Source organism: Homo sapiens, chromosome 20 (assembly GCF_000001405.40).
Source record: "Homo sapiens chromosome 20, GRCh38.p14 Primary Assembly".
NCBI classification, from domain to species: domain Eukaryota; kingdom Metazoa; phylum Chordata; class Mammalia; order Primates; family Hominidae; genus Homo; species Homo sapiens.
This window is the reverse complement of record NC_000020.11, coordinates 62,591,164-62,603,554: the sequence shown is the minus strand read 5'-3', so window position 1 is coordinate 62,603,554 and position 12,391 is coordinate 62,591,164. Positions and strand designations below refer to the sequence as shown.

The following is a 12,391-nucleotide window of genomic DNA, read 5'->3' as shown; positions in this document are numbered from 1 at the left end:
CCTTCCCCCTTCTCCCCAGGCCATGGTGGGCAGGTGGCCACTTCCGTTGCTGCCTGTGTCTGAGGACATTGGCCCAGGGTTGGCAAGAAGAGGAAGGTGTTGCATCAACATGCAGCACATTCACCTGACAAGGAGCTGGCCGCAGCCTCCGCTGCCAAACGGTGACGGTGCTGGCTGGTGCCCCCAGGAGCTGTTCACCACCTCCCGGGCTAATGGCGCTTGCTGCCTGGCACACAGCAGGTGACTACACTGCATGGCTTATAAATGTGGCCTCTGCCAGGAAATCCTGGGAAAGAGCCAGGGAGGTGACGTTTTATCCACGAGCCTGCTATGGCTTAGCCTAGCCCTCCCCTAACTGTGACCAAGCTCTGGATGAGACACAGACAACTACTGAGGACCTGCAAAGTAAGGAGACTGCAGGGCGGAGGCGGAACTTGGAGGAGTGACCTGCCGTGGAGTTTCTGGTTTCCTCCTTGTGGCTTTGTCTGGAGGGCAAGCCCCACTCTCAGATCCACATGGCAACACAAGCAGCTAAAACGCAGATAGAAACCCCAACCTGGGAAAAGGAGTCCTACAGGTAAGAAAGGGGTGGAACCCCAGAATGGGGAGAGCCGGGGAAGAAGAGAGGGGTGGAACCCTGGAAGGGGGAGAGCCGGGGAAGAGAGGGGGCAGAACCCCAGAAGGGGGAGAGTGGGGGAAGAGAGGGGGCAGAACCCTGGAAGGAGGAGAGCAGGGGAAAAGAGGGGGCGGAACCCTAGAAGGGGGAGAGCCAGGGAAGAGAGGGGGCGGAACCCCGGAAGGGGGAGGGCTGGACACGGCAATTGCCTAATTCTGTGCATGAATCCGCATAAGTCTCACAGTGCCACCCAGCAGTGCCAACCCAGCAAAGGTCTTGAGAACCACACTGAGAGAGGTGGGGTTTGGGATGAACCTGGCTGCTAAAGTGGAAACAGCAACGTTCCCCGAGGGCTAGGACAGCACCCAGAGTCCACACGGTGTGCTCAGACGTAAAACAAAATTACTCAATAGACACAAAACTAGGAAGGTGTGATCATCCTCAAGAGAACAGACAATGCTCAGATGCCAGCCCCAACTGACACAGATGCCTACAGCAGCCGCGGTAACTGCTTTGCGAGTTGCACGCATACACAGCACACGCACACACACCTCAGAAAGGAGCATTAGATGAAATGAATAATAAACCTCACAGAGAGGTAGGAAAAAAAATAAACAAATGAGTATTTTTGAACTAAAAGAATAGAGTATCTGCAATTAAAATTGTACTGATGGACTCAATAGCAGAATGGAGACAAAGGAAAGCCAGCGAACGTGAAGACAGATAAATAGAAAATATCCACTCCGAAGAACGAAGATAAAGAGGAAAAACAAGAACAAGCATCACGGGCCAGCTGGGGTCGTATCGAAAGGCCCAGCACATACCTGGTTCCAGAAAGCAAGGAGGAGGTTGGGGCAGAAAGTTATTTGAAGGAATATTGGCTGAAACATCCCAAGTCTGGTGAAATACATAAATGTAAGCATTCAAGAAGCTCAGTGAACCCCAAAGAAGATAAACAGAAAGGAAAATAGACCCAGACATAGCATCATCAAATTGCTGAAAACTGAAGAAAACATCTGGAAAGCAGCTAGAGAAAAACAACACATTTCGTACACAAAAGCAGTGACTCCAGTGACTACAGAATTCTTGCCAGAAACCACGGCAGCCAGGAGACAGCAGAACGATGTCTTTAATGCATGAAAGGAAAGGTTTCTCCTTGCAAGGTGTTTGTTCATTTCTTCCAAGTTGTGGAATATATGGGCAGAAGATTGGACACCATCCCCCTCGACTCTTTTTTCCCATCTGTAGGGTCTGCGGTGATGTCCTTTTTAGCCTCCATGTTTGTAATGAGGGTCTCTTTGTTTTGGGGTCAGTCTGGCCAGCAGCTTATCAATTGTATTGATCTTTTCAAAGAATCAGCTTGGGTTTCATTTATTTTCTCTATTTTCTGTTTTTGTTTTTTGTTCAGCTGATTTCCACCCTGATCTTTATTACCTTCTACTTTCCGCATGCGTTTTGTAATTTATTTTTCCCTTACTAGTTTCTCCAGGTGAAAGCTCCTATCATAGTTGGCAAGGGTTTTCTGTAAAGGGCTAGAGAGTAAATATGTTTGGTTTTGTGAGCCACGTGGTGTCTGTTGCAACCACTCAACTGCTGTTGTAGCGTGAAAGCAGCAACAGAAAACACATAAAATACCAAGTTGTTCTCCAGCATAACTTTATTTTCAACAGCAAGAAGGGGCCAGACATGGCCGGTGGGCTGTAGCTTGCTGGCTCTTGGCTTAGAGTGATTTGTGATCTCTTCCTTTTTTATCGTTTCAGCAATTACTGCTGTAAAATCTATCCTAAACACCAGTCAATCTGCATCCCACAAATGTTGATATGTTGTTTTAATTTCCATTGAATTCAAAATAGTGTCTAATTACCTCTGCATTAACCCTGTGCTTCTGCGCTTTGACATCTGGGGTGACCCAGGAGGGGCTCCCCCTCCAAGGGCTTCCCAGCAAGATCACCCTTCATAAGCAAATCAAGGATTCCAGAGCCCACACCCCAACCGCTCCCCAACTGGGCCACACTCTGGGCCAACGTCCCCCTGCCCTAATCACCCCAGGGCCAGGAGCTACACCCAGACCAGCTGGCATTAATGCAACCAGCCAGTTCTCCACCTGTCCACCCCCTGGCCTGGTCCTTCCCACACCACGTTCCTCGCACCCTCTGCCTCCTGGCCTACCTGGTGCTTGCCCTGTGCCCCTTCACCGTGGTGATGCGGCCAGCTCTGTCCTCTTGGGACCCGTGACAAATCATCTTTTTGATGGTGGTTGTCTCCTGACCTGTGGGCCTCACCCTACCTGAATAACAATGAAAGTTACATTTTAAAAATACCAGGTCACCTCCTCTGTTGATATGTTGTTTTAATTAACAACTTCTAAACAACTCATGAGTTCTTTTGGTTTTTTTGAGATGGAGTCTTGCTCTGTCAGCCTGGCTGGAGTGCAGTGGCACAATCTCGGCTCACTGCAACCTCTGCCTCCTGGGTTCAAATGATTCTTGTGCCTCAGCCTCCCGAGTAGCTGGGATTACAGGTGTGGGCCACCATGACCAGCTAATTTTTGTATTTTTAGTAGAGACGGGATTTCACCATGTTGGTCAGGCTGGTCTCAAACTCCTAACCTCAAGTGATCTGCCTGCCTCAGCCTCCCAAAGTGCTGGGATTACAGGCGTGAGCCACGACGCCGGTCGCTCACGAGTTATTTAGAATTGAGTTGCTTAATGTTTCAGGATGTTCTGTATTGGGTTCTCCTTTCATTCTAATTCTGGGATAGTCAAGGAACACAAGTCTCAACAAATCTTGAGATTATTCTTACTTTGTTCTCTGCACGACTTGAGTCTTTTAAGATCTACTGAGACTTGTGCTGGGACCCAGCGCGGTCGGCCTTGGTCACTGCTCTGCGTGCCCTGGAGAAGCATGCACCGCTGCTGGGGTGCAGTGTCTGGCACGTGCCATGGTCCAGCTGGCCCCCGATGTTCTGTGGGGGCATTGCTCCCCAGCGTGTCCGGACAGGTTCTTGCTGAGCACCGGAACCCTGAACATCCAGGGAATGAGGCGTCAGACACAGTGGGGGAGCTCCAGCCAGCGAGCGCCTGCTCCCGCTCCGGGAAGCGCTCCTGGTCCATGGCATCACCGTCCTCAGGCGCAGTCAGGCCTGGGGATGTTTCCTGCCACCGGAAGTGCCCTGAAGGTGTCCTGGTGGCCGCCGTGTGAAGGGATGATGTGACTGTGCACCACAGTCCCCATTTCAGGAGCACGATTCACCCCGGGACGCGGTCCTGAGACCGTCCCACTCTTTAGGGGCTGTGGGGGATGGAGGAGGGGCTCATGAGAGTCACCCAGACCCACAGTTCACCCTGCATTTTCCCAGTGGTCCTGGGCAGGCCACACTCTCGGCCTCCAAGAACTCGCACCCCTCCCATGACAGAGGAGCCTGGGATCAGGGAGAGGGGATCGTGTGCTCGGGGGCACCAGCCCCATGAGAGGACCTGTGTGGGAGGTGTGTGGTCCTGGCACAGGGCCTGGAACTGCCAGGGCAAGGGAGGGGAAGGACACCCAGCACTACTCTGATGTGCAAACCCTAGAGCTGCCTCGTGGCCACCCCGGGAGGAGAAGGAGGGAGTGTGCAGGGCTGGAAGGGCTGACAGCGCTTTAGACACCGTAACTCCACATTTGTGTTTTTCATGCTTGGAGCTTCTGTAGGAAGATGGAGGTTGGCCAAAGTTTCAGTGACTAAAAGTGTGAAATTCATTTAAGTCCATCAAACTCAAACTTGTGCAGGCACCAGGCAGTCACCCTTGATGAAGGCAGCTGGCCAGGCATAAGGGACACAATCCGCAGAGCCAACGAGACCAGAAATGATGCTGGACCACAGAGCGCGTGGACAGTGAGGAGCGGTGAGGCCTGTGCAGAGGGCAGTAGCCAAGCCCAACACAGCTGAGTGCAGCCACGCACAGCCCAGCCACGCCACACCACGCCCAGTCACATCCAGCCCAACACAGCTGAGTGCAGCCATGCCCAGTCCAGCCACGCCACACCACACCCAGCCACACCCAGCCCAACATAGCCATGACCAACCACACCCAACCCAGCCCAGCCTAGCCACGCCCAGCCCAGCTCAGCCGTGTCCAGCCCAGCCACGCCCAACCCAACACAGCCACGCCCAGCCCTTGGAAGCCACACCCCACTCCCCACACCACACCTGAATACAGGCCTAGTGTTACCAGAACTTCTAATTTTCCAACAGAAATGTGCAATTGGGGTCATTATGTTCAGTTTCCCAGTTTTGAATATAGTTTCAACTATCTTGACCAGCTCTACTGAGGATTATTTGACACAATCAACTGCACATGTAAAAGTGATGATTTGGAAAGCTTCGACCTATGTGCACACCCACGAAACCCTTCCCATGGTCCACGGTGAACCTCGTCACCCACAGCATGTCCTCCTGCCTGTGTCCTCCCACCCCTGTCCCCAGGAACCACCGATGTCACTACAGACAACTGCATTTTGCAGAATTCCATATGAACGAAGTCACATGTATACACGCCTTCTTTCACGCAGCATAATTATTTTCACGTTTGATTTTGTCATGTGTTTCAAAATTCCACTCCTTTTTATTTCTGCGTTGTATGGATGCACCATGATTTGTTCATCCAATCACTTGTTGGTAGACATTTTGGTTTTTCCCCCAGGTTTTTGCTATCACAAATAAAACTGCTATGGACAGTCATGCATAAGTCCTTGTGTGAACGCGTTTTCATCCCTCTGGGAAGAATTCCTAGGAGTGGAACGGCTGAGTCTCTGGTAGGGGTGTGTCTAGCTTAAGAACCTGCAGGACAGTTTTACAGAGTGGCCGAACCATCTTCCATCCCCCCCAGCAGTGTACGGCAAACTTTCAACAGCACTGCACAGCCCTAAGACGCACATGCCTGTGGGTGCTGCCCAGCCGTGGCTGCCAGCTTGTCTCTGGTCCAGATCACTTCTTGTTCAACAGATGGGGAGGCCTAGGGAGACCACAGGCCATGCCAAAGGTCATGCAGCAGCTGTCAGCTGAGCAAGGCTGGCAGTGGCCCAGGCTGGTCATGCCCCCTCCATGCTGGCAACTGTCTCCACCAAGGCACACTCTGGTGGAAGCTGGAGGCAGGGGACACTACTCTAAGTGGAGTCATCTGAGAGATGCACCGACCACACCTCTTCTGTGTTTCTATCCCCGAGCTCCCAGGGGCCAGGACCACCTGCCCAGGGAGTGCTCATTGTGCCAAGAAGAACATGACCCAGCACAGGGTCACTGCAGGTCCCTAAGCAGAAGGGCTGGCCCGGGCAGGACCCCAAAGGCTCGGTAGCAAGGTGCTCCTCCCGAAAGCTGTGATTCCCGGAGTGATCCGGGCTCCGGGGTGGGACCTCCTGGTGCAGGGTCCTGAGCTTCGCCTATGCCAGGCTTTGGAAGCATCCTCTGAGGGCCCCTTCGGAAGGAGCATTGGGATGAATTAAACAGCAAGGCAGGGCTCGCCTAGTGCATGCTCTGCTGACAAATGCGGTCATTTTTCTCGATTCTGGGAAAGAAGGGATACGGACTTGTTTCGTCTTGCCATGTCTAGAACTCCTCTCGGAGTCTCCAGTTAGTAGGGAGAAGGGAGTGCCGTGGTCTCTGGGTCCTGCTGGCACGTGGAACCCAGTTCTGCAGGGTCTCACACCTGTCCTCTTCTTGTCACCCTCTCTGTCTTTCTCAGCAACTTTTCAGAAGCTTCAGAAGAAGGACGCCGGAGAATGCCCGCCCGGGACTCCGAGGTGCCCTGTGCTCATGGATTGGTCCTCCTGGCTCCATGAGTGTGAGTGAGTGTCTGCAGGTCCCTGGCACAAAAGCTGCAGTGCTGAGCAGGTGGCTAATGGCCCTGGCTGGGTGATTTTGGACAAGTCACCTTTGCCTCTCTGGCCTCCATTGTCCCTCTGTCAAACAGGCCCCACGACAGCAAGCGTTGGTTATTGTGTCTATGGTCAACATCCCACCTGCCTTTCTGGGCAGAGACGTTTGGGAGCAGTGGCTGTATCCCTGAGCACGTCGTAAGGGCACTTTCCTGCATGCCCTGGCTGGAGGGACCTGTTGCTGGGAAAACTCCCCAGAGTGTGAACCGGCGGCGGCTCCACCATCTGGGTGCCGTGGGCATGGTGCATGGCGGGAAGGAGGCCGGCACCACAGAAGGGTGGCAGCTGTCCCCGGAAGGCTCTCCCCTGAGGGCGCCCAGGGCTCCACCGCTAGCCAGCCATCTCCTTGCAGTAAGGCACGTTTCCTCCAGATCCTCTCGGAACTGCCGGGAGTGGCTGCCCCACCCGCCCAGCTCTCCCTGGGTCCTGCCAGGCAGGGAAGCGTGAACCGAGACGGGCTCGGGATGGCTCTCAGGCCCTCCCTGCTCTCAGCACCAAGGGAGGCACCCAGAGACTGATCTGTGGGGGCAACGGAGACTCCGGGTCCCCCCACCAGGATACGTCCCCTTTCTTTGCATCTGATGCTGACACACACATACGAGGAGCCCAGAGGCAGAAACGGGACTCAGAGCCTGACGCTGAGGCTGGTGTGTGGGGCTGCCTCTCCCAGTGCTGAGGCTGGCGTGTGGGGGCTTCCTCTCCCGACACTGAGGCTGGCGTGTGGGGCTGCTTCTCCCGACGCTGAGGCTGGCGTGTGGGGCTTCCTCTCCCGACGCTGAGGCTGGCGTGTGGGGCTTCCTCTCCCGACGCTGAGGCTGGTGTGTGGGGCGGCCTCTCCTGGTGCTGAGGCTGGCATGTGGGGCGGTCTCTCCCGACCTTGAGGCTGGCATGTGGGGCTTCCTCTCCCGACGCTGAGGCTGGCGTGTGGGGCTTCCTCTCCCAACCTTGAGGCTGGCATGTGGGGCTTCCTCTCCCGACGCTGAGGCTGGCATGTGGGGCGCCCTCTCCCGACCTTGAGGCTGGCATGTGGGGCTTCCTCTCCTGACCTTGAGGCTGGCATGTGGGGCTTCCTCTCCCGACGCTGAGGCTGGCGTGTGGGGCGGCCTCTCGGGAGCAGGCGGCCTCGGGGATCCTGGGGGTCAGCAGCCCCTCCACAGCTGCACCTCCCGGGACTGACCCTGCAGAACCCACCTCCCGCCAGCCCCTCCACAGCAGGACAGCACCCGCCTCCTTTTCCAAGGCCGCCTCGCCCAGTGGAGGCTGCAGCTCTACTGGGTGTGAGTCAGGAGGAAACGCTCGCAGCCAACACAGGCAGGACACGCCCACGTGACATCGGATCCCACGGGGAGGAGTCCACTGGGCAAATCTGAACAATGTGGGGGAAGATATTGATGAGATGTTAAACATAACCCATAGAAGAAGAATCTACAAGTCCGTACTGACGTAAATAAATAAACAGGCATTGGGGAGAGACAGCTTTTCCTTACCATAGAATTCCAACTCAGCCGCAGAATCCTGGTGGGAACCGTCATCAAAGTCAACGGGAGCAGACACCACCAAACCCCAGATCAAAGTCAGCATCGCCAGCAACGGGCACACGGACACCAGGAAACTCCATCAGCATTGCTTTTGCTGTATTCTTGACAAAATTGTACAGTTTAATTTTTTTTCTTTTTTCTTTCCTTTTTTTTTTTAGAGATGGGGTCTCACTGTGTTGCCCAGGCTAGAGTACAGTGGTGTGATCACAGCTCACTACAGCCTTCCGTGGCTGGGACTACAGGCACACACCACCACATCTGGCTTGTTTTTTTGTTGTTGTTCTTGTTTTACTGTTTACTTTGTAGAGATGGGGTGTAGCTATATTACCCAGTCTTGACTTCTGGCCTCAAGTGATCCTCCCACCTTGGCCTCCCAAAGTGTTGGGATTACAGATGTGAGCCACTGTGCCCAGCTGTATAAGTGGAATTTAATTATGAGGAAATCTACAGTGAATCCAAATTAAGGGATAGTCCACAAAATAACTGACAATATTCTTTAGAAGTGTCAATGTCATGAAAAAACAAAGACTGAGGATTCGTCCCAGATTGAGAGACTAAGGGGCCACGAGGACTAAACACAACATGGGACCCTGGACTAGGAAAGGGTGGTGAGTGGGACGGTCAGCAGGGGTGAGCGGGACGGTCAGCAGGGGTGAGTGGGATGGTCAGCAGGGCGTGCATGAGGGGTTTGCTGGGTGATCCTGTTGTATCAGTGGCCATTCTCTGATCATTGTACAATTGATCACTATCCTCAAAGCTAACTTTTTTTTTTTTTGAGACGGAGTTTCACTCTGCCACCCAGGCTGGAGTGCAGTGGCGCCATCTCAGCTCACTGCAGCCTCCGCCTCTTAGGTTCAAGTGATTCTCCTGTCTCAGCCTCCCAAGTAGCTGGGACTACAGGCACCTGCCACCACACTTGGGGAAATTTTTGTGTTTTTAATAGAAACGGGGTTTCACCATGTCGACCAGCCTGATCTCAAACTCCCGACCTCAGCTGATCCACCCACCTCGGTCTCCCAAAGTGCTGTGATGAGTGCCCGTGAGCCACCGCGCCCAGCCTCAAAGCTAACTTTTGGGGACGTTGGATGAAGAGTCCACAGGAACTTTTCTACTGTTTTTGCAACTTGTTAAAACCCTGTAATTACTTCAAAATGAAAAGTTAAAAAATGATCTTTTAAAAAAGAGTTAATACTTGCAGTATATAAAGGACTCTTGAAAATCAATGAGAAGATGAATGTCCTGTGGAGAGCACATGGGCCGCGATGCTCCGGGAAAGAATGGCACAGAGCACAAGAGAAACAGCTCACGGGCACCACTGATTAGAGAAATGCCAAGGCACTCAATGACGGCCAATGATGGCGTTTGAAAACATTAGACTGCAAACTAGTGTTTACACCGTAAGGGTGCTCTCGTGTTGCTGGGGAGAGGGGGACGAGCATAGCTCGCCTGCAGAGCAGTTTGGCAACTTATCAAAAGTCCAAGCTGTGACCTTTCTCTTTTTGACCCCTACGCTGGATGTCTCCACCCCAAAGCCCCCTCCCAGTTTGTACCTGGATACTGAACTGTAGGGACCCCCAGGACCTCTGGCTCTCAGCTGGTGCAGCCAAGGGGAGGCTGGGCAGGAGACCAGGTGGACGGCTCCCACCCAAAGGATGCCCCAGGTTGGGGGACAGGGCAGGACACCCCCTGATCTTGGAGGTAAAGTCATGTCTTACCCCAACCCCAAAGGTGCCCTACATGCCACCCATGGGGTGAGAGTAATATGGCAGCCACTGCCTGTCTCACTGATGTCCAGCCTGGACCATCTGAGGGGAGGGGAGGGAACTCAGGAAGCAGAGGTCGTGCTGCTCTCTGGATCCCCCCATCCTGTCTCCACCCCTGTGTCAGGGGGTTTCGGGTACCCTGGGGCCCTGACAGCCAATCCCACCAGGAGCAGGGCCATTTCCTGCCCATGAAACTCCTACTAGGACCTGTGGGACCCGAGGGTGACTAACAAAGCTGTCCCAGATAACACCACCATGGAAGGGGTTGGAGAGCAGGGCCGCCGCTTAGTCCAAAGGAACACAGACATCTGAAGGATGGATTCTAGGCTGTGTGGGCTCCGCGACCTGAAAGGCAGCGCATTGGATAGGCCTGATTCTGGTTCTGGTTAAAGGTGGAGAAGTCTCCCTGAGCCCAGGAGGCTGAGCGGATCACAGGGGCACCTTGAGAGGGAAGATCGATTTTTAGGGTATGGCCCAGCCTTCCCTCAGGGCTGAGCAGATCCACAGTTTTGAGAACACGGCTGAAAGGCGGGCACACACTCACACACGCATGCACACACACACCCCCATACATGCATGCACACACACACACATGCACGCACACACACCCATGCATGCACACACACACATGCACACACACCCATACATGCATGCACACACATGCATACACACACTCACACATGCACACACACGCATGCACACAACCCATACATGCATGCACACACCCATACATGCATGCACACACACACACCCATACACACACCCATACACACATGCGCACACACACCCATACACGCATGCACACCCACACACACCCATACATGCACGCACACACACACCCATACACGCATGCACACACTCACTGCCATGTGCACCATGAGGGCTCACTCTCCCCAGCCCCAGTGGGTGACCACATCCCCTGCCCCCTGAGCAGGATCCATGCCCCTTCCTCATGGCGAGGACCAGTGTCCTTTCTCCTTGGGGAGGATCACAACCCCATTCCCCTGGGGAGGATCACTCCCCTTCCCCCTGGGGAGCACCACCATCCCATCTGCTTTGAGCCCTGTGCGTCCAAAGCTCCTCCTCCCTGTGCAGGTGCCCATCACCCCTATTCCATCATTCCCATCCTCTCTGATGAAACCCAGACACCATTTCCACGTGCTCCTCCCAGGCACCTCCCACTAGAATGTGGGCCACCTGGGGGCAGTGGCCTCGTCTGTCTATTCTCTGAGCCCTCCTAGAGGCCAGGGCTGCCTATATCCTAGTGAGGAAACTGGGACACTAGGAGGCCAAGGTGAGTCCCAAGCACACAGTTGAGAGGGGTTGAGGGTGTCTGAACCCAGCCTCAGCAGACAGAGGGGCTGTGCTCCAGGCTGCCTGTGGACTGCTCACAGGGTGGAGTCTGCTGCCATGGGGTCCATGCCTGGCCCTGGGCAGGCATGGGGGCTGTCTGCACCAGCTGGGCTGCCCAGCTGCCAACTGGCCTGCGGACTCCACCAGAATGTGCCTCTCTGCCACCCAGCCCTGAAGTCAGCCCTCCCAGCTCACTCTCTGCAGGGCCACAGCGGGCAGACGGGGATGCCTGCATCTGAAGAGCACCTGGGGACGTGGTGGTCCCTGGCTCCAGAGGTGGGGGTGTTGCTGATCTTGGAGGGATCCTGAGGGCATCTCCTCAATAAGCCTGAGGCCAGGCCTGGGAGGCAGATAGAGACACTGTGGCCAGGGAAGAATGAAGTAACCCCCACACGCATTCCCAGCCTTTACTGCCATGGAAGAGCTCTGTTTAGAAACAAACACCACTCCTCCAACACAGCACCCACACACGCGTGCACACCCACACACACACAACCGTGAACACACACACACATGCACACCACTCTTCCAACACAACATACACACACACAACCGTGAACACACACACACACAGGCACACCACTCCTCCAACATGACACACACACGCACATGCAGACATGCACACATACACACACGTATGCAAATGCACACACACGTGCATATGCATGCGGGCAGACACACAAGCACACACGCACATATGTGGACACATGCACAAGCACTGTGCCCATGCTGGGTGCTGCTCCTCCTGGGGTGTGTCCCTCTCTGCCATGTGCATGGCCCCTGTGATGGAGCCGCTTCCACTGGGGCTCAGCTCTGGTGGGGGCCTGGGGCTGGTGCAGGTGCCTCTGTGGGCTTCCTCTGAGGGCCCCAGGATGCACCAAGGTCATAGCACAGAGCCCTCCTCATGTCCACCTGAGCCCCATCAAGACAGTGACGGTGGGGGCTGAAGTGGAGTTGGGCTCTCCCTGTAGCTCCCCCTCACCTCTCCCAGCGCTTCCCCCCAGCCCCCGTGTGGCCTCTCTGCCCAGCTTCCCAACATCCGCAGGGAGCTTCCCCAGCTTTTCTGAGTGGCAGGGCTGTGGGCTGCCCTCCTGCACCGGACCTTGCTTCAAATGCCGAATGCCACCAGTCCTGCAGAACCTAGATCCCAGCGGGGGCCTCGAGCACGTGCGCCTCGGGGTTCTGTGTGCAGTTGAGTTTGAGAAATG

At 54.8% G+C, this 12,391-nt stretch overlaps 1 long non-coding RNA gene across 3 annotated transcripts, besides 2 other annotated features; it reads left to right on the top strand.

The window, feature by feature from the left end:
* LINC02970 (long intergenic non-protein coding RNA 2970) lies at window positions 114-9,290 on the top strand. 3 transcript variants are annotated; one of them, NR_184037.1, is made up of 2 exons: window positions 114-577; window positions 6,337-9,290. It is a non-coding gene; the product is annotated as a long intergenic non-protein coding RNA 2970 (long non-coding RNA). The 3 variants fall into 3 exon arrangements; NR_184039.1 differs by lacking the exon at window positions 6,337-9,290 and adding an exon at window positions 1,303-5,343; NR_184038.1 differs by lacking the exon at window positions 6,337-9,290 and adding an exon at window positions 853-5,343.
* Window positions 10,785-11,285: an enhancer, noted in NCBI's record as "H3K4me1 hESC enhancer chr20:61189477-61189977 (GRCh37/hg19 assembly coordinates)". NCBI's record gives its function as "activates a minimal SCP1, AML or CMV promoter by ChIP-STARR-seq in naive H9 embryonic stem cells {active_cell/tissue: H9 hESC(naive)}" and the evidence as "EXISTENCE:reporter gene assay evidence [ECO:0000049][PMID:30033119]".
* Window positions 11,286-11,786: an enhancer, noted in NCBI's record as "H3K4me1 hESC enhancer chr20:61188976-61189476 (GRCh37/hg19 assembly coordinates)". NCBI's record gives its function as "activates a minimal SCP1, AML or CMV promoter by ChIP-STARR-seq in naive H9 embryonic stem cells {active_cell/tissue: H9 hESC(naive)}" and the evidence as "EXISTENCE:reporter gene assay evidence [ECO:0000049][PMID:30033119]".